Below are 23,585 nucleotides of genomic sequence, written 5' to 3'. Positions count from 1 at the left end.
CACCAGCCTTGCTCACCTGCCCCTTTCATCTTCTGGGTCCCACAGAGGTTTAAACCATCCCATGAGCAGTTCTGGATAAACTGCCAGATAGGGATAAGAACTGAATTCATTTCTCAGCCATGTGCTTGTCTCAAACAGGTGGCTAATAAAGTATTCATCATTTTTCACCCGGGGCTATACAGTGAGAGCACAGGCACTATGTAGGGAAATCAGGGCAGGGATCTGTCTTTCCCTGAGTGTCGGAGTTGGGACCATGTAAGACGGAAGAGACCACAGAACTTGGTGGACCGTGGGCACAATGCCTCCAAAGCCACAGGGGCTTTCTTTAATCAGAAAGACCATTAAAACAAACGTTCTTCTTTTAATACAGCCATTGAAAAGATGACACATTAAGAAACATGTAAACACTGCAGCTGCTTAATTACAAGTTGCACTGCTTGATTTAGTACCTATGCACTCCCAGGTTTGGGGACCTTAAGAGAGGGGGACAGGAGCCTCCCCTCACTTTCACAGTTGGATAGAGAAGGCAAGAATGTGGGTAGAGTAAGAAAGAGAAAACAGAAGACCTGGCTTGTGCACAGCGCCTGAGAGAATCAAAGCAAATTCTGTCTTCTAGTTCTCCCAGAAGAAAGGTTTAAGATGTTAGGAAGGTTGGAAAATGAACGTGTGTTGTCAGTTGGGAGGCAAAGGAATTGACAAATGCTTCTAGTTAGAATATCAGCTAGGAAAAGGAGGGATACAGAGCCTGACCTCATGCTCTGAAAAGGCAAGGAACCCAGAACTTGCCTCCCTTATCCACTTAAGCCCCAACCTTGATCATCAAGGGCAGCGCATGGGTGATCCTGTTCCCATGAGGATTGTGTGTCGCACCTGAACACAGGACACAGCGTGGGGGAAACAACCTTGCCTTCCTCGGTTCTGCTGCCGCCAGTCGCCCTCCTAGGCTACCCAAAATGCCTCTCCCTCCAGTCTCAGCTCTGATCCATGAGCCCTGCCAAAGGCCTGAGACTGCACTGATCTCAGGAAAACAGAAGTCTTCCTTTCCCACACTAACTGAAAGGTGACACAGGAACCAACTCCTTAACTTTCCAAATTACTGAGAACTCAGACTGCCAAATACCGTACCTCTTGGCCAGTGGGGCCTGCTTGGTCTTTCTATAAAGGGAAGGGAGGCCAATGGGAGAGTAATGCCTGTCATTTCCAGGGGAAGCAGAAAAAGGACAGTAAACAACTTTACTACCATAGGCCCCAGCGCAGAGCCGTAGAGGGAGAAGTACCTTCCTCTCTAGCATAACAAGAATATTCACAAGAGTTTTTTTATATGTGTTTTTTAAACACACGATACCAATGGTCCTAAACTTGGGTCAGTCAACTGGTGAAGATGACCTATTTGGCAAGCAGAATGATTCGGAAGTGTGGCAGCAGTCTTCTGCCGAGGCCCTGGTCTCCCCTGTGTAACCTATAGGGAGAGGGGTAAAGGGGCTTGGGCATTAGTAAGAACAGCCTTGCCAAAGGTTCGAAACTAAGCCCCAATTCCCAGAAATGAAATGGAGGGTGAGGAGAGACGAGGGTTCACTCTCAGCAAGGCGGAGGGATCAAGGCCCCTTCCTGGGATTGGTTCTTCAGGGAACCAGGCCCTCTTGTTAAGGGCTTGCTGGGGCACGTGAAGCAATACCTAGAACAGCCCAGACCTTGGGGTTACCAAGTGGAGCGACGTGAAGGCAGGCGGTTGCCATGCACTCATCTTCCGTGGTGGGCCGGGTTCAGCCTCCTGGGTTCAACACTGCCGCCATCCGTGCACGACACTGACCCCAGGGCTTCTCCGTGCCCAAGGCCATCCCACAGGCTTCTGTTCCAGGACATTACTGACAATCCAGAGAGGATGGAGAAGGGAGGTGCCTGGGTCCCAGCAGTGAGTGGCCAGAAGGAGGTGGCCTGTGGGAACTTGAGATCACCACATCCAAGATTCCCAAAGAGGTAGCTTCCCAATCGTGAGTCTTCCCCTGCCACTTAGTGGGGGCTGGCCCAACTCCTGCCACTACCTCCGGGACAGCAAAGGGGAGTACAAGATGTGACTACCCAGGGCCCTGTTGGCAGCTCAGAATCCCAGGGACATGCTCAGATCCTGTATCAGGAAGCTCAGAGAGCCAGGAGCCAAGGATGCGTGCTCTCTGCTCTCCCTCCTCTAAGACGCAAGGCAGCCCCCCGAGGAAGGGGGCTCATGTTCCCCAGAGAGGCTGGCTTCCAGGATGCTACCTCTTCTATCCCACATCGGCCGCAGAATCCCAAGGAGAGACTGCTTCCCACCCCAAGCCCCTTGGGTTCTCCAGAGAAAAGAATTTAAGTCAAAAACATGATTTGTTTTCAGGTTGCAAGTAACGGGTCAACTGAGCCTCACAAGGTCCGCCCCCGCCCCCAGCCGCTGGTGTTGGTAGATGGGGGTGCTGGGTGGGTGCCCAGCATCTTCTCGGCCCTGGGGGCCTACTGCCTGCAGTTGTTGTCAGACAGCTGGCTGGGGGTCCGCACCTCACCCAGGGAGGTGGTGCCCTCAAAGCGCTGTGAGGCGATGGCCGCCTGGTGGGACATGCTCTTCCGTACGATGTCACCCTTCCGCCACAACACCACTTCCTGCAGAATTGAAAGGGGGGCAATGTGACACCTTAGAGGGAGGCATGGGGACAGGTTTCCTAGAGGCTCCCAACTTTGACGTGGGGAATCTCGGGCAAGGACCTCCTCTGCTTCTCTCTCACCAAAGGCAGCAGCTGCCAGCACCTCCCTGTCCCTGGTGTGGGCCAAAAGGGCAGGTGGTTGCAGGAGAAGGCCCGAGGAAGCAGACTCTAAGGCCAGGTGAGAATCCTCATTCTTGTTGTGCAATTGTGGGCGACCTAATGTTCCCACCTCTTGGCAAAAATGGAGTCTGACCTTCCATAGGAAAGAGAGCCTCCTGTTCTGTCCCAAGGGCATCGGGGCCTGGAGGAGCCTGGCCCTCACCTGCTGCTTGAAGTAGCGCCGCTCCTCCTCGTCTATCAGCACCAGGTTGAGGTAATAGCGCACAGAGAACTTCTTGTTGATGTCCCGCATGGTGGGCGTGAGCTCATACCCGGCCAGGAAGAGCCGGATCGGGATGGACTCTCCTGTAGGGGGAGGGCAGGAGTCAGCACAGGGGGCAAGGTGATGCCCTCTCCCTTATACCAGGTCACTCTGACCACTGCAGAGATGCCACTGGAGTGCAGCACACGAGCACTTCAGCCTTCTGGGAAGGTGCAGTCGCTCTGCTGCCCAGCAGGTGGCTGAAACAAAAATGTGACTCTCCAGTTCCACTCCAGGTCATGTTGCAGCTTCTCATGTCTTCTCGAAAACAGAGAGCAACTGAGTGGGAACAGCACAGGTCATTATTAGTATAAGCATCTTTTGATTACATGCAGTGTGTTTAGTTTTGGGGTTTTCAAAAGGCAGCTGTCAAAGTCCAGTTAAGCCACCACTTCACCCAGCAGTTCTGATGCCATCTTTCTCCATCCTCAGTGTATGCCCCCCAAAATACATCCTCCCTCTTGTGTGGACTGGCAAGGTGGTATGGTGGAAAGCAGAAAGTCCTCACTATGGCCTCAGTTCTGCAAGAACCGCTTTTCTGATTTGTGAGTTAAGTCTCTGCTTCCTCTGGACCTTCATTTTCTCATGTGGAAAATTAGAGAATCGGACTGCGTGATACTACAGATCCCTTCCAGCTCTAACATCAGACCGTTTCTAGTATCAGTGGAACAAAATTAGGGCAGTAATTCTACCAAGAAAGGCCAAACCTATAATGTGGTCTAAAGCTAAATATAAGCCATCTTATCATTATCTGCTCTTTTACATGCATTCTCAGTGACCCATTTCATTTGTACAGGAAAAATGACAGCTGGCTCTATTTGCACAGCCAGTGACAAAATGGGACATCAGAGAGTGTCAGGAGAGCTTGGTCCCAACCCTCCAAGGGCCTGGCATGGTAACACCCGCGTGTCCCCAGAGCTGCAGGCAGCTAAATCTGTGGCGCTCCTCCTTCCACATGGAACAGCCTGTGGGAGTAAAAGGAATAAGCCAATAAAACCCTGGAAGCACCATGCACTTCAAAATGAAGAGTCTTCGCCATTCCTGAGGGATGGCTAAAGAGCCAATGAAGAATGTAAATGATTGCTTCTTCCAGATAATCACGGTCCCCAAATGACAAAGGGCTTCCAGCTCTACTAACCCAGATGTAATGTTAGCTCCCTGGGGCTGGGAGAGGATGCTTCCAGCAAATTCCAGGGCTATCTGGGTACCTGGTGGTGTTGGCTGAAGTATCTAGTAGTGCTCTTTCTACCTGACAAGTGAATTCAGAAAATAAATCGGAGCTAGAGCCAAGTCACAGACAGGCTGCTGTGCATGCATCCCTTGCTCCTGAGCAGCAGAGAATGCCAGAATGTCAACAGGAAGAAGCAGAAACGTTTTCAAACCACATCTGCTAAACCTGGACCTTCCAAAGTGACGCTTGAGGTTCAATCTTCAGTACAAGCCCGATATATAATCCAAGTCTAAGTGCAACTTTTCAGGGTGAAGATGGGATAGTAGCCTCAAGTTCTACACACTCAGCCTTCCTTTTCTTCCTTATGGCCACCCACGGTGTAAACTGAGAGATTAAGAAGTTACAGGTTAAGAGGACATCTTATTTTGACAGTGTAATCCCTCAAGCCCCTCCAGAATTCTGTGCAGGACATGGGAGAAAAGCTGTGGTAGCCGAGGCCTGGGCCTGGAGTCTCACCTCGCACTGGTGCCCCGTCCATGATCTCGTACTTGGCTATCGTGTCATTCTCATGGTACACGTTGGGGCCTGTACCCGTCGTTTCTCGCTTGATGATGTCTATCTCCATGTGCTTGATTTTGATTCTCACCAGCAGGAAGTATATCTTCCCTACAATGACATCTTTCAAGTGGTATCTGGGGAACAGAAAGTACAGAAAGTAAGATGTTGGTACTGTGGCCAGACCTTTCTGTTTCAGTAGAGCGCACACGCCACGGCCAAGCGTGCTGGTTAAACGTCCAGTTGCAGGACACACTCACCCATCACTGCCCACATGGCTGTGGCTGAACTGTTTCCCAGTGCGGTCTTTACTTGGATTAAAGTAGCTTCTGTCCCTTCCACATCCCACGCAAAGGACGTCTCTCCTGCATGGTACCCATTCATGTTTGTTCATCTGCTCTATCTCCCCAGCATGCAGCTGCTTTAGTACCTTTTATATTTGTGTTTTTGAAAGATATCCTAATGTATGAGAGGCTAGTCCCACAAGCGCAGGGACCAGTCTCTCCCTTCCTCTGATCTCCACACAATGTCTTTAGAGAACTGGACCTGGATGGCTCAAAGCACACAGTTCTGTCCGCTCTAGGCCGACAGGCCAGGCAGCAGCAGTAGAGTGAGAAGAGCAAATCACTCTCGGCATCAGCGCCTGCTTTCTGGGCTCCGCTGGCCTGGCCTTGTGAGTTGTTACGAAGTGAGCCACATTGGGTAACACTTCCTGACCCTCAGGGTTTTTTCTCTGGGTCAGTCAATAGTCTACATGTGCACAGCCCGTATCAGGCATGAGAGAACGAGTAAAATCTTAAAACCTGATGCTCAGCTCACAGGATAAGAATGCTGGCATGGACATCAGAATTCAGCCTCCTTATATTACAGGTGAAGAAAAGGCAGTTGGAAGAAAAGAGATAATGTTCTCTTGGATAACCAGGATGTGAGTAGGGGGTAGAGAAAGGTGGTAAACCCAGGATCCTAGTCCCCAGGCTGGAGTGTTCCCCACTGTTTCACACCACCCTTCTGTGCACAGGCTACAGGAAGACTGCAGACACCTGAGCAAACAGCCTCAGCAAATTTGCAAAAGCAGCAGGAGACCACCTGCGCCATCTTACAGGGGATGCTTAGAGACCATGGATTCGAGATGTTTTCAAACTCCTACAAATCACACATTCCTGTATTCTAAATGTTATACAGAAGCAAAAGCTGCTCTAGGTGTAAGCGGGGAGAGTTAAAAAACAAAAAACAAAAACCCAACAAAAACGTTGCTTGTGGATGGAAGAAAAGCGGAAGGCCAGAGGGTCTAAGGATCTCAGCTCCGCTGCCACCTCACACTTTCTGTGTGTTTGAAACCCACTGATCTGGTCCAAGCTCCTCGTTTTACAGATGAGAAGCCGAGATACAAAATGTTAGTATCTGCTGACCGCCCAACTTCTTAGTGTAAGAGCAGGACCTGGTTCCAAGTCTGGAGTTCTCTGGCATATAAATCAGGCACTCACACAGAGCAGCTCGCTGTGCAAGGAGAGGTGTGGTCTGAAAGTGTCCCGTCCCTGCCTCTCTAGAGCACCTTTTCCACACTAGCTTTGGTCTGGCATGCACTGATGACCAGTGGCTGCTTTGAGCTCCTACGGGTGGCACAGCTGCTGGCCTCTGCCTTCACCAGATGGTCAGGACAGTAGTGGGTAGGCACTCTGGATGGCTCCTTTCTGGGCAGGACCGCAGAGCCCTGAGGCTATAAGGAGAAAGGGGGAGAACCTGTTCCCATGCCAGGCCCAGATCAGCCTCCCTCCCACCTTGCCTCACTCTCTGTTCACTGGTGGGCTTAGGCGAGGCAGAGCCAATTCTGGGTCACACTGGTCATTTTCCTGGGGCCCTCTAGGTTCCAGGCCTGCCAGGGGAAAAAACACACCATTCCTCCAACCCTGTTCCAAGAACCATATATGTTCCTAGTTTTAAAAAGTTCTGTTCCTGACCCTTCAAAGGTGAGCCATCTGGTGCAGCTCCCACTGCTCCCAGCCTCTGGATGACAGTGGTCCAGGGGGTGCCACAATGAAAATCCTACTTAGAGACTTTGTGGCTTCTTTGTATAGCTCTCTGTGAATAGAATACCCTTTCTACTTTTGGATATTTGAGTTCCAAACATTCTCAGGAATATCATATTCAAAAGAAAGATGCTTTTGAAATACCCTGTCAGAAAGTTTTGTGATTTATTTATAACTGGCTAATTATTTTGATGTTCTAACAGTAAACACAGTTTAAAAGATATACATCTTCCCAACTTGCCAGTTAAAATAAAGTCATTTTAAGACTTTTATAAAAAATACATCAGGGCTGGGCATGGTGGCTCATGCCTGTAGTCCCAGCGCTGTGGGAAGCCAAGGCAGGCAGATCACGAGCTCAGTAGTTCAAGACCAGCCTGGGCAACATTATGAAACCTTGGCTACACACACACACACACACACACACACACACACACGGACACACACACACACACACGGACACAAATTAGCTGGGTGTGGCGGTGCATGCCTGTGCTCCTAGCTACTTGTAGGGGCGGAGGTGAGAGAAATGCTTGAGTCTAGGAGGTCAAGGCTGTAGTAAGCCATGACTGGGCCACTGTACCCCATCTTGAAAAAAAAATCCAATATTCTTTGCTATAATTCATTTTAGTTCAGGGAGGAAGCAGCAAATCATGGCCAATATTTGGTTTCGTCGCTTTGATTTCTGAAGACACAGATGGAGGGAGCACATGATAATGGAATGGTATTCTGAGATTGTTCTTAGCAGTAGCGGGAAACAGCTGAAGCTGGAATTCCAAAACAAATAACCTCAAGTTAGTTTAGCTTGACTGAGAGGCATCATAGGATGTTTAACTTAAAGACACCACCTTAGTTGAATATGGTTTAGTTTAGGTAAATGAAGTGTTTACGTCGTGGTCGGTCCAGCTGCAGCTGGCCTGCCATAGACACTCACTGGATTGCTCCCACGGTCTTCCCCCACCGCATGCCACCACAAAGCAGTCGAGTCACAGAGGGTCATCAGTTTGCATCTGCATCAAGTCCCATCTTAACCTCCTTAAATAATCATTTCACAACCTTGGCACTGAGACACTTACTTGGATTTATTGTACTCAAATTCAATGTGCAGACAGTCCTCAATCCCAACCTCCATCTTGATGGAAGAGTTCAGCTCTGGGTATGTGCTGAGTGTGTGAACTACAATGTCCATCTCTTTGACAACATCATTGAGGCGGCGGCTGATGGTAGCACGAAGGAAATAGCTGTAGGAGACGGAACTGTCATGAATAAACACTCCCAGTCTCCAGATGCTACCTAGATATAGGTACCAAATTGGCCCACTTGAGAGAAGCCTGTACAAAGGTTCTTAACCCTTGAGGGCTTTGTATCCTTTTAAGAAGTTACAGACCCTCTTCCAGGGAAAGATGCACATATGTACCTATACAGAGACCTTTTCAACCACAATTCTAGGGAGTTCAAAGACCCTTCCCCCAAATCCCTCTAGGGAGCCCATGCCCCCGGGTCAAGAATCCTGCTGTAAGGGAAAGTGATTTCTCTGCCTTGTACCCCAATCACATGTTATTCTTGGGCCTTTCACGGCCCTTACCACTACTGACCATGTATTTGTGTACAGGTTTTATTTCATCAGCTAACTCCTGGCTTTTGGGGCAAAGGAGTCCGTCTCGTAGTTTTATCTTTGCATGTTTGTTCACCGAACAATATTCAATCAATAAACCTTTTTAAAGTGTCCCAATAAACCTTTCTTAAGTTAAAAGAGGGGACTAGGAAAGAGAGAAATTAAGTCAGCTATTCATTCCACAAACATTTACTGAGCTAAGCACTGGGCTAAGCACAGGATGAATAAGATACAGTCTCATGGGAAGCTCACAGTTCACCGGGGGAGATGGGCAAATAGAGAAATGGGAACACACGGAAAGGGCTAATTGAGATGCTGCGATCCAGTGCTGTGTGGAGGGAGAAAAGGGCATTCCAGGAGAGCAAACCTTATATGCCACAGGGGCAGACAGGACCTGGTCTGTTGAATAACAAGTCTCTGGCTGAACCTAGGATCCCTGGGGAGGACGCTGCTGTGGAGGGGATGAGAGAGAAGACAGAGACACAGCCCTGAAGGGTTTAACAAGCTGCCCTCTGTGGCCCGCCAGTGCAGCACTGTCATCCCCGGCACTTAGCACTGTGCTAACACTCAATGAGGAGGAGCTCTTTAATTGTATTTCCTTCTCCATAAAACATTATTTTAATATAATCTAATGTAATATAATAAATTGTATTTTCTTTTAAATAAAACTTAGATAATCCCCACCATCTGTCAAGCATTACCAGATGAAGTTATAAAGATATGGCCAGGCGCGGTGGTTCACGCCTGTAATCCCAGCACTTTGGGAGGCAGAGGCGGGCGGATCACGAGGTCAGGAGATCGAGACCATCCTGGCTAACACAGTGAAACCCCGTCTCTACTAAAAATACAAAAAATTAGCCGGGCGTGGTGGCGGGCGCCTGTAGTCCCAGCTACTCGGGAGGCTGAGGCAGGAGAATGGCGTGAACCCAGGAGGCGGAGCTTGCGGTGAGCCGAGATCAAGCCACTGCACTCCAGCCTGGGCAACAGAGCGAGACTCCGTCTAAAAAATAAAATCAAATAAAAATAAATAAATAAATACATAAAGATATGCTAGCCATACCAACTACACATTTCGGCTACTATCCTCTGTGTGGCACTGGCTGCTTCTTGGGGATCCTTTCGGTTCACCTCAGTAACCATCACACTGCCCAAGACACCTGTCCCTAGCCCTCTTCTAACTGCTCAGCCTCCCAAGTCTCCCCACCCCGCTGTCTGGGAAGACACTGACTTTTACTCCACTAAGAAGATGAAGGCCTTCCCAGTCAAGACTTACAATGTGCTCCTTCCTCTGCTTTGTTCCTTACTTAAGGCCTAAACATGTCTCTGCATTTTCACCCATCCTGTCTCCAACAGCACCTCTCCCTCTCAAGACCTCTCCTCCCCACTCCGGCCCAAGAACTCTCCATATGGATGCACAATGAAATCACCAGGAGAGGAGAGCCCTTAAGAATCCTGCTGCCTGGGCACACCTGATATGTGATTGTCTGGAAAGGGACACAGGCATTCGCATTTTAAAAAGCTTCCCACATGATTCTAATGTGGAAGCCTTGGTCCGGCATCTGGATCCTTCTACATATTCTGATTTCCCCAAGATCATCAATCTCCCTCTAGCTAAAGGCCTTTTCCTCTGAGCTTATTAAAAAATTGGTTTCCAAAGTCACCAATCCCAAGAACCCTCTCCAGGCCTTACCCTCTTGACCTACCATACTTTCTTTTCCTTTCTTCAGAGACAACTGTCACAAGGCGGGTTCTGCACCAACAGCTGAGGCTTCTCCACGAACCACTCCTCCCAACCCCTTGCTTCTGTCTCCACCACCCAACAGAAACCGCTCGCCTCGAGGTCAGTAACCCATGGCCTCCCAGCTGCCAAATCCAGCAGCCCTTGATTCTGCGTCCCGTGAAACACTTCTTCCTTGAAACACTCTTCCCGCGGTTCCACAGAGGCGCTGCCCTGATTCACCCCCCTCTCCTCCTCCTGCCATGCCCTGGTGGGTCCTGGCTCTCCTCTCCTTGTGCTCCCTTTCTTCAAAAACGTATCAGTTATGACCTCTGAGCAGATCAGTCCTGACTGCACATTTCTAAGTGTCCCCTCTGTCCTTAGTGCCAGGTCTGCGCTTCCAATTGTCTGCTAAACTTTTATGCTTTCTCTATTTTGCCAGTATTTCAGCCTGCCCTCTAGAGCTGGATGAATCACCTTATCTCCAGATCATTTCTTCCTCCTGATAGCCCTCTGTCTCCATCTCCACGGCTGCATGCCTGCACTCACTGGTAATCTCTGCTGGTGTCTGTTACATTCCTCACTTTCTCTTTGTTCCCATTACAGCCACCAAAATCATACTCGGAGGACCTCACAATAGCCTTCTGATAGTTTTGTCTCTACACTCTTCCCATCCACCAAATGCTACATATGGACTCCAATCTTCCAAAATAACCTTTTCTCTGCCTAAAGACAAAAGAAAAGTCCACAATAATCTTTTCATGTTTTCCCTCTGCCTGTGTAATAAGAAAAAGCTTTTAATCTGGAAGTTACATCTTTAAACTGTCCTCAACTAATTTTCCTATCTCTACCTCCTCTCTTTCGCAACATGAATCCTAAAGTCTTCATGTGATTTGGACATTAACACTTTTCTTTTATTGTGGCAAAATACGTATAACATAAAATTTACCACTTTAACAATTTTTAATTATACAGTTCAGTGGCATTAATGATATTCGTATTGTGCAAACATCACCATCAGTCTCCAGAACTTTTCCACCTTCCGCCACTGAAACTCTACTCATTAAACACCAACCCCCATTTCCTCCTTCCCTCAGCCCTGGGCCTCTACCATTCTATTTTCTGTCTCTATGAATTTGACTGCTCTGGGTACCTCATATATATGGAATCAGACAGTATTTGTCCTTTTGTGACAGGCTTCTTTCACGTAGCACAATGTCCTTTAGGTTCACCCATGTTGTAGCATAGGACAGAATGTCCTTCCTTTTGAAGGCTGTATAACAGTCCACTGTACGGACAAAACACATTTCCTGTGTCCATTTACCCACTGATGGACACTTGGGTTGCTTCTACCTTTTGGTTATTGCGAATAATGCTGCTGTGAATATGGGTGTACAGATATCCGTTCGAGATCCTGTTTTCCATTCTTTTGGATCCGCTTCTGGATCCAAAAGAGGAATTGCTAGATCATATGGTAATTCTGTTTAATTTTTTGAGGCACTGCTATACTGGTTTCAACACCTTTCTTTCTGCCGTACAAACGCTTAAGACAAATCCACTGCAAAAGAAAAAAAAATTAAATAATAAATCCCTCGGTCAAACTGAAGTGATGACTAGATGATCCTCGCGGTTGCTGCATTCTCTGGGTGCGATTATGAGACACTGTCTTTACTGGGTGTAATGTCAGTCTTAGACCTCTCTGCAAAGATTTGTTTTTTTTCTTTTAAAAAAATTAAAAAAATTTTTTTTTTTCGTAGAGATAGGGTCTCAATATGTTGCCCAGGCTGGTGTCGAATTCCTGGCCAAGGTGCCAGGATCACAGGCGTGAACCACCACCTCTGCAAAGATTTAAAAAGAGCCTTCACTCTTCTGATGGAAGAAGGGAGGACAGAGAAAGAAAAGAAGTTAAAGGTCTTGTGGTGTGTACCATCCTAAACTCAGGTCCTCAGGTGAGGAGATAAACCGATCTTATGAGATGGTATCAAGACCTGGAATCAGGTGTTCAGAGTCACAGGGGAGACTGCTTTATCCCAGTAGCATCACATAACCTCAAGTTTACACCTAACAGTCTATATCTGCTGTAGATTTTTTTTCACCCAAAAGACCTTGGCATCAGTCTCTATTCTCAGAGTTTCCAACACTATAACAGTAAAAACAATCCATGTACCTATGTGTTCACATTTTAAGAACTTTATTTTCTTATCACCCCCAAAAGAAGAGGACATCTAGAATTAGAATCCAAGTCCATTACCCACTTTGAAGTGAGAAAGCTGAGTTACAGAGCTCAAGGTCACACTGCAGCTGTGTGGCAGAGCCGGACAGCAGGTCAGGATCTCCTGACACCCAGCCAGCAGGAGTGTGCTGGGGGTGGCTGACGTTGAACTTTCAGGAATTTTATGACCTGGCTGTTAAACACAGCAATTATTTAAAGTTAAATTATATAAACTCACAATTAAATGAATCATGTTAAAAACAAAGGTAAGACATGCGAAAATCTCATCACTTCCTATTTTCCGGCCCTTTACAATGCTCTCTGCTCTTGAGGGAATGTGTCTCCATATGATGGTAATAGCACATCTCTCCCACCTCTACATTTAGGAACATTAGGTAGCTTGAAATTGGCCATGGCGGGGCTATGTACACTACAGAAATTGACACATGCTACAACCTAGGGCCACTTTCCTCCTAGAAGGCCCACGGTTAATGGTTTACCAGCACGCCACAGCTCGCGACACTCTTCCTTCTCGGGATCCCTGTGAAGATTCTCAAAGTGGGGACGGCCTCAGGTCCTTGTCCACATGGGGCAGGTTCTAGGGTACAGTGGGGAACCAGCAGACATCACTTACCGTAGCTTCACATTCTGCCCTGTGTAGGACTCATACGGCTTCTCCACGTGGGTAAACTCAAAGTCGAAGGCCTGCGACTGGGTGATCTCTCCAGGCCGGGCCAGGTCCTTCACCAGGGACACAAACTCATGGTGGTTCCCGCGATCGTAGTAGAGTTCTGGTGAGAGACAGCGATGCGACGCCCTCCTTTATCAGACCCTGAGCTACACCGGGCCGAGTAGGGGGCTGGAGGCTGTAGGCTGGAGGGACTGCTTTCTGGAAGGACCTCCCTGCAGAACAGACCCCTTCTAGCCTTGTTTTCTTGACCTCTGCTCTTTCACTCCCTCCTTCTTCTCCAAAGGCTTTTCTGTCTTATATAGTGAAATCCCGTGGCAGAAAAGGAACCCAAAATAATCCTGCTCCAAGACACTCGGACACCATCTTTTAATAAGGGTAAGTCATGGGAGCCAATATAAGAAATGCCACACTTCTTTAAACAGCATTTAACACTTCCAACTTCCGAAAGGATATAGCTATTTAATCATATCATCCTTATAATAATAATCTTCTGACACAGCTAAGACAGGTCTTATCACCCCGTTTAAAAGACGATGGAAACCCAGGCACAGCATGCTTAACTGACTGGCCTGGAGTCGCAGAGCTGGCTGCAGAGCTGAGACTAGAGCAGGTCTCCTTCTAGACTGCGTCTATTTCTATCAGCTGGTATAATGCAGGTCATGACACAACCTACTTCACAAGGCTCTGTGTGAAGTAGCAGGGGTGATGTAGGTAAAAGACTTAGAACAGTATCTAGTACACAGCAAATACTCAAAAACATCGTTAGTAGCTGCTGTTATTACTCCAAAAGGAAGGCATGTGGCCAATCGAACATGGACATTTTCATGTTATTCCCTCCACTGAAATCAGGGGGTGTCGAACTTTAGTGTGCACCAGAGTCACTGAGAGAGCTGGTTAACACACAGATGGCTGGACTCCACCCTAGTGTTTCTGATTCAGGAGTCTGGGATGGGGCCTGAGAACTGGCCCTTCTGATAAGCTCCCCAGGACGGCTGCTACCACACTTCCACGCTTTAAGAAGCATTGCTCTAAATTTATCCTCTTCAGGAAATAGTTCTGGTATTTTTTGATGATAAGTTCATGCCACCCATTTGTCCTATATTATTTTATGTTTGCTTATATTCTATTTAAGTATAAGTTTTGCTACATACCTGGTCTCCCCCGCTCCCACTGTGGACTGCAGGCCCTTTAAAGATAAGGCCCACATCCCCAGCTCCCTGGTGCTTCCTAGAACCTGGCCCTGCACAAGTGAGCTTTTTTTGTTTGTTTTTTGAGACAGAGTCTCGCTCTGTCGCCCAGGCTGGAGTGCAGTAGTGTGATCTCGACTCACTGCAACCTCCGCCTCCTGGGTTCAAGCAATTCTTCTGCCTCAGCCTCCCAAGAAGCTGAGACTACAGGCATCTGCCACCACGCCCAGCTAATTGTTTTTGTATTTTTAGTAGAGATGGGGTTTCACCATGTTAGCCAGGATGGTCTCGATCTCCTGACCTCGTGATCTAACCGCCTTGGCCTCCCAAAGTGCTGGGATTACAGGCGCGAGCCACCGTGCCCGGCCGAGGTAAGCTCTTAATACTGACTGTGGCTATGCATGGCCACATTACAGTTCAAGCCACCACCCCTCAAGGATTCTGTGTTCAAGTCCCGTGCTAGACTGCAACTTGCAGCGGGGCAGATGAATTGGGAACACAGAGCAGGCGGAGCACACTCATTGCCTCTGTTGTTTGCTGCTTGGGGAGGAAGAGGCGAGTCCACAGACTGGAGTCTCTGGGATCCCACACTAGTGATGCCACTTCTGTATGAATTCACAGTGTATTGTGTGGCTGTGGCTTGTGGCTGATTTCCCGTGTAACTACAATCAGCCACAATCTTTTATTACAAACAATGACCTTCCTTTCCAAACACTCAGTGGTTTCAATAGTAGGCAGCATTCTGGTTAGTGAGTGATAATCCACAAAGCCTCAGAGTGGGAGGTGGCAGCTCCAAATTATGGGTGGAAAGTGAGCAATCCAGTAATTGTGCCCCCCCAATAAAAGTCAGAAGTATATGACAGGCAGAAGCGGAGCCGCGGCCAGCCCCGGGGACAGGGACTCCTCGGCTTACTCTTGTTGCATGAGTCCTGGTCGATGGTGTTGGCTTTCGTGTGGAAGCCGAAACCTTGACTTGGGAACCTGGTACCTCAGTTTCTAAGCACTAGATTCTGGCCATAGTTTCAGGGGACAGAAGCAGGCAGAGCAAGGCCCCAGTGTCCAGAATCAATGGTCCAGAGTCAAGAGGAAGAGGAGAAGAAAAGGATGGAAAAATACAGAAATGCGATCACACAGCCCAAAGGCAACATCAGGAATAAACAAAACAGAGAAGGCACAGAGAGCGCTCAGGCTGCCAGCATTGTGGAGCCTAGCAACAGTGCAGAAGGTTCGGCCTGCCCCAGCAGGGCACCTGGAGCAGGAGAAGTCATTCCCTGCATAGCATCACGTTCTCCCTAGTGCCTTTCCTCCTGCACACATGTTAATATCAGCTCTGACATCAAATGTCATGGAAGAGTGGCCAGTGTGCAGTCACAGCAGGGCTGGCCTGGCCTTTTTAATCTATCCTTTATAAGCCATCTGCAATACTTCTGCAAACACTGTGGGGCAAAGGGGCAGACACAGCGATGCTTCCTATTTGCCAGAAAGTTTGGTTTCCTCTTGCATAAATTAAAACAAAAATCCAAGGCTGTTCTCACGAGAGGTCTGGGCCCTAAAGAGATTGTAAATAGCCTCTATTCCGTCCCAAAGAAGCAACCACGCGTCATCTTTCATTCTTCCCAATCACCAGTCCTCAGGGACCAGACGTGTCAGGCTAGAAGTAGGAACTGAGTAAGTTTTTGGTTAAGGTAACTATCCTGTCTTTGGTTTCCTTCTCAGTCCAACAGGAGGAAATAACTTTTGTACTCAGGATGTTTTCATGGTGAAACTTGCCACCAACAGTTGAGAAGTGAATTTGCCATTCTGGAAGGAAACTGAGCCAGCTTTGCATCACAGGTCACCCATGACAGCCGCCCTGAGCTTTGCTGCTTGGCTAAGGCCATGTTTAGTCTAGGCCTCGTGCAGTTTTGGAAGAAACCTAAGTCAGCAAAGCATAAAAAGACCTCCAAAGGCCAGGCGTAGTGGTTCATGCCTGTAATCCCAGCACTTTGGGAGGCCAAGGCGGGTGGATCACGAGGTCAGGAGTTTGAGACCAGCCTGGCCAAGACGGTGAAACCCTGTCACTACTAAAAATACACAGATTAGCCAGACGAGGTGGTGGGCATCTGTAATCCCAGCTACTCGGGAGGCTGAGGCAGGAGAATTGCTTGAATCCGGGAGGCAGAGGTTGCAGTGAGCTGAGATTGTGCCATTGCACTCTATCCTGGGCGACAGAGCAAGACTCCGTCTCAAAAAAAAAAAAAAGCCCTCCAAAGAGCCTCCTCTTCATCTGACCCTCCCAGCCACTGTCTGCTGGCTGGCCACTGTCAGGATTCGTGCTTACCACACCCTACTCCTGTCTGCCAACCCTGTGAAACCCAGAAGCACTGGCACCTCTGAGCGGCCCACGCCTCACCAGGCGCAGCTCTGCTCCAGTCCCACCAGCAGCTTGTTAAGTAGGCCAGAATCAATCCACCTCATCTTAATGTGCCTTTTACTTAGTGTTTCAAGGGCTAATGAATTAAAATACAGAAAGCCCCTGGAGTTTTTAAAAGTATGGGCTTGATTGGTATTAATGGGCTTATTAAAACCTAAAAAAAAAAAAAAATCCAGATAATGTCTGTTGGCTTTGGAGTGCAGGGATGTTCCTGTCTGCCCTCCTCCGCATGTCTGACCTTCTAATTACGTTTGGTTTATTTAACCCATTAGTCTCCAAGGCGGCCCAGGTCTGCTTTCTAAACTTCACTGGTGTTCCCCAAAGGATTCCAGCTCAACAACGGTCTCTTCTTCTCACAGTTACAGTTTTTCCTTGCAGTGCTCCTTACAGACTACTGCATCTTCCTAAAGACGTGGGCCAGTAGGATGACTAGGTCTTAGACCTTTCTGTCCCATGGGCCTGACCCAAGAGATGCCCTCACCACATGTGTTGGCATTGTTAGAACACAGACCAAGCCACTGGAAAAGTATCCTAGGTACAGGAAGGATCCCAGTGTGGCTCGAAAACTTGCAGAGGATAACAGAAAAACGTCCACCACATAAGTGAATAAATAAGATATTATAGTCTCAGGAGGCAACGTTCAAACTGCCACATCTGAGCAGTGGTGCAGGACCAAACGGGCCAGAGGTTTGACAACTCTTACGTTCTTACACACAAGGGGATATCAGTTTCAACTTGGCACAGAAGAGTGTGAGGAAAGAAAGATGTAAAGGCAGGTAAACTGACATCAGCTTTAATACTTCCTTATCCCAGTTCCCCCAGTGAGGACGCAGCCCCAGTGGGGGCACACCAGCTGGAGAGTCACCGAGTTGTCAGTGGCCTTGATGGACAACCACATGTTGCTCATCAATGCCTCCTCCACAACAAAGGCAGGAAGCTCAGCTGCTCAACCACCAAAACAAACCTGATTTCTGTCTTTCTTTCATTAAAACAACTCTTGCTTATCTGGGAGGAGATGTGGGAAAAGGAAAGAAAACAAAATGAAACAAAACAACAACAAAGAATAGTTTCTGTAAATTCTTAGATTTGACCAATATATCCATTCAACAAATATTTACTAGGCACCTTCTATGTGCTAGCCACTGCACTAATGATGGGCTGAAGGCAGTCCCTGGATCTCAGGTGCTCAGAAATTAGTAAGAAAGACAGACAAGTTTTTTAAAAAAGTCACAAGCTTGTCATACCCGGCTTGAAAAGAGGTATTAATGAGGCCTCTGGAAGAACAGTGGAGGAAGCACTTAAGTCAGCCTGGGGAAGTCAGAGAAGACTTTCTGATGGATGTGATGTTAGCTAGGCTTTGAAGGAGTAAGAGCTTGGGTGGAAGGTTATATCTTGCAGAAAGATGTTACTATACAAAGGGAAAATACCAAGATTCCAGAAGAAAAGGATAGTTTGTGGAACCCACAAGCGGTGAGAGTGAAGGGTTAGGGGAGACGAGGCTGGAAAGAGAGGGAGGGCCAGAGCAGGAGGGATTTGGATATACTTTCCCCCATTAACCAATAGGGAGGCGAGAATTTTAAGAAAGGACTGACAATGATAGAACTGCCTTTAAGAAACTTCATCCTCACAGAAAATGACCTGAAAGGGGAGGAAGACAAAGGCAGGAAGACCACTTAGGAAGCTGCTACAAACAGAAAATAAAAGGCAGTGGCATTGAGAAGAGAGAGGAGACACTGGTTTGAGATATACTGCAGAACCAGCAGAGAAGGCCAAAACTTAGCAGCCAACTGCATGTGTGGGAGGAGGAGCCAAGACTTCAAAATGACTTCTAGATTTCTGAGGCTAAATGATCCCAGCTGACATAGGCCGAAATGGGGAAAAAAGGAGACGCAGTGGGGCTGTGGCTGAAGCAGAGACAGAGAGAGGGGTTTGTGTTTGCATGCATTACTGAGGCACCTGTAGGGTATCCCGGTGGACATGTCTAGCAGACAGCTTCAAAGACGTGTGAAACTCAGAAGAGAGGTCGGGTCAGAACAAAGAAACAGTCTGGGAGTCATCAGAATATAATTCATGGGGCTCAGCACAGTGACTCATGTATGTAATCCCAGCACTCTGGGAGGCCAAGGCAGGAGGATCGCTTGAGTTCCAGACCAGCCTGGGCAATAAAGACAGACCCTGTCTCTACATAAAATTTAAAAAATTAGCTGGGTATGGTGGCATGCACCTGTAGTCTCAGCTACTTGGGAGGCAGAGATGGGAGGATTGCTTGAGCCCAGGGGGTTGAGGCTGCAGTGAGCTGTGATCGTGGCACTGCACTCTAGCCTGGGTGACGGAGTGAGACCATGTCTCAAAAAATTTTTTAAATAAAAAACAAAGAAAATAAGTCATCGGTGCAGATGAGATTGCCACAGCAAGTGACAGGATAAAAGTGACACCTCTGCCTGCCTGCCTCCAAATTAACAAGGAAGAGGGACAGAGCTCAGTGCTATCAACTTGATTACTGCCATATGCCACCCCGTCAGCCAGACCTCAGAACAGACTGAAGTTCCACCCATCTCACACATAGTCAAAGAATGCAATGAAGGAGAAAACCACACGACCGCAGCTTCAGCAAACTCACTCACTAGCCTCGCTCTGGTGCCCCAAGCTCAGTTTACAATGACTGACACAGGTGTATGACACAAATACTTCACAACATGCTTCTTTCGGGGAACCAGGAAGATAAAATAGGAGGAATATAAGAGTTTAAGAAAAGTCACTCTGTGCCTCCAAATAGACTTCCAAATAGTACATCTTCACTCCCTGTCAATGTGTGTATTTCAGGAACACAAACTCCCTTTTACATCGAATAGAACTACAAAGGTTATTCTAATGCCTTGTTCTTGATCAAGAAATACATCCCAAAGCCAAATAATAAGAAACATATTGTCTAAGAAAAGTCACTCTGTGCCTCCAAATAGACTTCCAAATAGTACATCTTTACTCCCTGTCCATGTGTGTATTTCAGGAACACAAACTCCCTTTTACATCGAATAGAACTACAAAGGTTATTCTAATGCCTTGTTCTTGATCAAGAAATACATCCCAAAGCCAAATAATAAGAAACATGTTGTCTAAGAAAAGTCACTCTGTGCCTCCAAATAGACTTCCAAATAGTACATCTTTACTCCCTGTCCATGTGTGTATTTCAGGAACACAAACTCCCTTTTACATCAAATAGAACTACAAAGGTTATTCTAATGCCTTGTTCTTGATCAAGAAATACATCCCAAAGCCAAATAATCAGAAACATATTGTCCATCATTCTGTGTTATTCTACTTCCATGTCCTCACGTAACCATGGATAATTGAGCGTGAACAATATACTTCAGCACAAAGCTGGGACTGGCTCCATCTACAACACCAACTGAGACTGGCCCATGTGGCCAAAGTAAGAAATTTAAGGCAAAGGGTTGAAACATGCACTCCTTATCAGTAGACAGGGCGATCTTCTTCAGGTAAAACAGGTACAGGAGGAAGAGCAGCAAGCCAGTGGGTGATAACTCAATTTGTGAAATGGAAACATTTTACTACAACTACCATAATTTTATAAAGGAACCCTCTATAAGGGTCATGCATGATCCCCTGGCATGCCCAACATTCTCACCAAGTGATGTTATTTTCCTTGCTTGGTAGCTGAGAAAGCCGAGGCCCAGAGAGTGGCTAAATTCCCCCAGTCTCATGGTCAACTCAGTGCAGGGTGGCCAAGGGCCCGGGAAGAGTTACTAGTGGAAGCAACAAAAGGTTCTGAGAAAATTCAGCAGGGATGATGGATGTCTCAGGAGTAAGGAGATAGACAAGAAATCAGGTGGGGCAGGAACAGCAAGCAGTTTCTTCAACTCCCTTTCATTTAGACCAGAGGAAGGCCTTGACACGGTTCCTAGAACAGCTAATTTCACACTGTCTGGGGCAGAAGACATTCTGGGTTATCTTTCACATACTGGTAAGGTACCACCATCTGGGAGTGATGGTATAGACACAGACTAAACATGCCTGCCAACACTAATTATTATTATGGAGCCAAAGAATCAATGCAATAACTTTAAAACTGCTACTAAAAAATACCTTGCTCAATAGGCAAGGATTTCTCGACTATTTACTATGCGTAGCATAATATGCTTTGGACTCATCCTGTTTATCCTGGGGTTCTTTGCTAGAGATGATTTTACCCTCCAGAGGATATACAGCAATATCTGAAGACATTTTTGTGGTCGCAAGTGGGGGATGCTACTGTTGTCTGGTCAGTAGAGGCTGGGAATGCTGCTAAACATCCCATGACAACATGCCAAACGATGCCAGACATCACAGTGCTGCTACTGAGGAACCTTGCCATCTACCCCACCATTGAACCCAGAAGCAGGAAAGCAGAAGGCATGGAACTCACTCTTCGGCCCCTTTTCTGGTACACTAAGACCTTTCATATTCTGGCTTTAAAATAACAACAAAGAGCTTCCTGTAAGATCAGCCAGTCTTCAACCTGATTTCATGTTCTTAAATACCAGAGGCAAAATGCTTGAGGCTGAGCAGTGAACCCAAGAGCCAGGCCACAAGGCCTCCTTTTCCCAGGGTTTCTCCTACCTGTGTCTCCGTGTTTCCTGCCTCTGTGAAAAAAAGACGGCAAATTCTTTGCTAAACTCTCAGGATAAGAGAGTTTAACAAAGATTCCCCAAGGAAGTCTCTAAAAACAGAGTTATGTATGCAGTGTGTGGTATCGGTATGGATTCTCTACCAGAGGTGTGTAGCTCACAGGGTATTTACTGTGATTCTACTCCTAACCTAACGACAAAAACAACTTATTTTAAAAGTACCCAAGCATTTTAATAATACACAAGAGTCTAAATAAGGCTTAGAATTGGAGACGACCCAGTCTTGACTGGGAGCTCCCCAAATCACTTTACCATTACTGCCTTTTACTGTCTAGTTCTTATTTGTTTATTTGTTTATTTTTTTGAGACAGGGTCTTGCTGGTTGTCACCCAGGCTGGAGTGCTGTGGTGTTATCACAGCTCACTGCTGCCTGGAACTCCTGGGTTCAAACAATCCTCCCATCTTAGCCCCCCGAGGAGCTAGGACTACCGGCAAGCACCACCACGACCAGCTAATTACAAAAAAATTTTTGGGGGTAGAGGCAGGTCTTGCTATATTGCCCAGGCTGGTCTCCAACTCCTGGCCTCAAGCAATCCTCCCACTTCAGCCTCTCAAAGTGCTGGGATTGTAGGCATCAGCCACTGTGCCTGGCGCTGTCTAGTTCCAATGATTAATAATCATGTTTAAAGCATTGAGAAACTCTGATCACTTAATTGTGGTTTTTAGAAACACCATTTCTTTGTCTTTAAACAGAAAATGTGGTAACTGAAAACTTGCATTCTAATAAAGAAGTCTAAGAAACGCAGCCTAGGTAGTCAGATTTAGACTGAAGATTATGGGTCTTCTTTCTGGAAACATGTACAAGCATAGGTAGTTCAGGGCTGAGGTGAGGTAAGAGAGAACTGGTTAGCTCTCTCACACCACATCTAAAGAGAAAAACGGGTTGGTGCGGGCTCTGGGAAGTGGGGCTCGGTGGACGAGCCTCACTTTGCGTCTGGCAGTTGCAGATGGCCGGGCGATGGGAAAGCCAGTATTGGCAGAGCGGTCTCCCCCTAACAAACCCACCTGCAGGCTATGGCCAGAGCACCTCACCCAGAAATCCTGGGGACAAGAAGCAAAGCCGAGTGCATGCCGGAGACAATGGGGAGAACCCATAGGCAAGGTGCCCATCCCACGAGGCACAGCAGGGCGCTTCCTCCCGCCCTCGCCGTCCCCATCTCCCTGGCAGCGCGCTGTCACTTTTGGCAGGGAGGACAGTAACGCAGGGGGAGTCGCCCACGGGCGGGACTTGTAGCTGAACCCCAGGCCTCAGACTGCAGTTGACAAGCGACTGTGACAGGCCTCGCCGGAGGAGCTGGGCCCTGAATCACCCTGCTCCCCGGCCGGCTGTCGGCGCTGGGGGAGGGGGTCCCGGGGGTCGACTCACCGATCTGCCCGATGAACTCGATCTTGATGCCCTGGTGCTCCAGCCGCTTGTTGGGGTTCTTGAGGGCAAGGCTCACCTTCCCGGAGACCGTCTCCCCGTCGTAGAAGAGGAAATATTTCTCCTTCTTCCCGTCCTCCGTCTTGTGCTCGGCCCGCTTCCTACTCTCTGCATCGTTCAGAAGGATTTCCACCTCCACGCTCTGCCCGAAGCCGAAGAAGCTCATCGCACCGCCGGGCCGGGCGGGTCTCGGTAAGGACCGCTCCCTCGCACCGGGGCGCGGGCTGCCCTAGGTAAAGAAGGCCAGAGGGCCCGATGCGCGAGCGCGCTCGGCCGCCGCGGGGCTGCCTGGCTCCGCCGCTGCCGCCGGGCAGTGGGCGCCGACGGACAGCCGGCTCCACGGGGGAGGGGCACGGCCGGGGGAGGCTGGCGGCTGCGGGCTGCGGCGCCCGAGCAGCAATGCACCGAGGAGCAGTGCCCTCGGCCGAGCCAGTCCCAGCCAGTCCCGCGGCCGGTGGCAGTGGGCGGGCGAGGGTCGGCCGTGCAATGCTGCGGGGGGCAGCCGCACAGAGCCGGGTGTGGGTGGCCTGCGCCTGCCGGGTGGGGTCCAGCGCCGAGCAGCGCTGCGAGCTGCCCAGCCTCCGGCGGTGCAACGCACCGAGGCGCTTCGGCGGCTCCGGGCGGGGGAGGGGGCGGGCGAGCTCCAGCCCGGATGCGCTGGAGCAGCGGCGCGCAGGCGCACCCCCTAACGCTCCTGGGACTCCCGGCAGCCCGGAGGAGAGCTCGCTGCGCATGCGCAGGGAGAGCGCGGCCGGCGCTCCAGCGGTCGGCATGGCAGCTGCTACCTCGCTGGGACAGGCTC

At 48.6% G+C, this 23,585-nt stretch overlaps 2 protein-coding genes across 3 annotated transcripts in view, besides 3 other annotated features; one reads left to right on the top strand and one right to left on the bottom strand.

Moving 5' to 3' along the window:
- Positions 1 to 283: 283 nt before the first annotated feature.
- Positions 284 to 23,401, bottom strand: VPS26B (VPS26 retromer complex component B). Of its 2 annotated transcripts, NM_052875.5 has the most exons (6): positions 22,727 to 23,401; positions 13,019 to 13,175; positions 7,917 to 8,081; positions 4,778 to 4,953; positions 2,992 to 3,134; positions 284 to 2,628 (listed from the first exon to the last, which is right to left on the bottom strand). In NM_052875.5, exons 1-6 carry the CDS (start codon positions 22,947 to 22,949, stop codon positions 2,482 to 2,484), a joined length of 1,011 nt encoding a protein of 336 aa, NP_443107.1. In that variant the 5' UTR covers positions 22,950 to 23,401; the 3' UTR covers positions 284 to 2,481. The 2 variants fall into 2 exon arrangements, with proteins under 2 accessions (NP_443107.1, XP_011540867.1); XM_011542565.4 differs by lacking the exons at positions 284 to 2,628; positions 2,992 to 3,134; positions 4,778 to 4,953 and adding an exon at positions 6,992 to 7,607.
- Positions 22,515 to 22,664: an enhancer, noted in NCBI's record as "active region_5770". NCBI's record gives its function as "activates an Ori minimal core promoter by ATAC-STARR-seq in GM12878 lymphoblastoid cells {active_cell/tissue: GM12878}" and the evidence as "EXISTENCE:reporter gene assay evidence [ECO:0000049][PMID:35858748]".
- NCAPD3 (non-SMC condensin II complex subunit D3) overlaps positions 22,611 to 23,585 on the top strand; it is a 75,349-nt gene continuing 74,374 nt past the window's right edge. The window contains exon 1 of the mRNA NM_001372070.1: positions 22,611 to 22,975. The gene's annotated coding sequence lies outside the window, so the exon portion shown is untranslated. The remainder of the gene's footprint in view (positions 22,976 to 23,585) is intronic.
- Positions 22,765 to 22,824: an enhancer, noted in NCBI's record as "active region_5769". NCBI's record gives its function as "activates an Ori minimal core promoter by ATAC-STARR-seq in GM12878 lymphoblastoid cells {active_cell/tissue: GM12878}" and the evidence as "EXISTENCE:reporter gene assay evidence [ECO:0000049][PMID:35858748]".
- Positions 23,025 to 23,494: a silencer, noted in NCBI's record as "silent region_4094". NCBI's record gives its function as "represses an Ori minimal core promoter by ATAC-STARR-seq in GM12878 lymphoblastoid cells {active_cell/tissue: GM12878}" and the evidence as "EXISTENCE:reporter gene assay evidence [ECO:0000049][PMID:35858748]".

The sequence above is a fragment of the Homo sapiens genome, chromosome 11, assembly GCF_000001405.40.
Source record: "Homo sapiens chromosome 11, GRCh38.p14 Primary Assembly".
In the NCBI taxonomy this organism is placed as follows: Eukaryota; Metazoa; Chordata; class Mammalia; order Primates; family Hominidae; genus Homo; species Homo sapiens.
This window is presented reverse-complemented; position numbering and strand designations above follow the sequence as displayed.

What these genes read in the sequence shown, in the direction of transcription:
- VPS26B (NM_052875.5), bottom strand. Translation starts at nt 22,949, where the DNA reads ATGAGCTTCTTCGGCTTCGGGCAGAGCGTGGAGGTGGAAATCCTTCTG. An exon ending in GGGCAGAATGTGAAGCTACG is followed by an intron (nt 8,082 to 13,018) that starts GTAAGTGATGTC and finishes CGTCTCCTACAG; the next exon opens with CTATTTCCTTCGTGCTACCA. An exon ending in TTTGAGTACAATAAATCCAA is followed by an intron (nt 4,954 to 7,916) that starts GTAAGTGTCTCA and finishes TCTGTTCCCCAG; the next exon opens with ATACCACTTGAAAGATGTCA.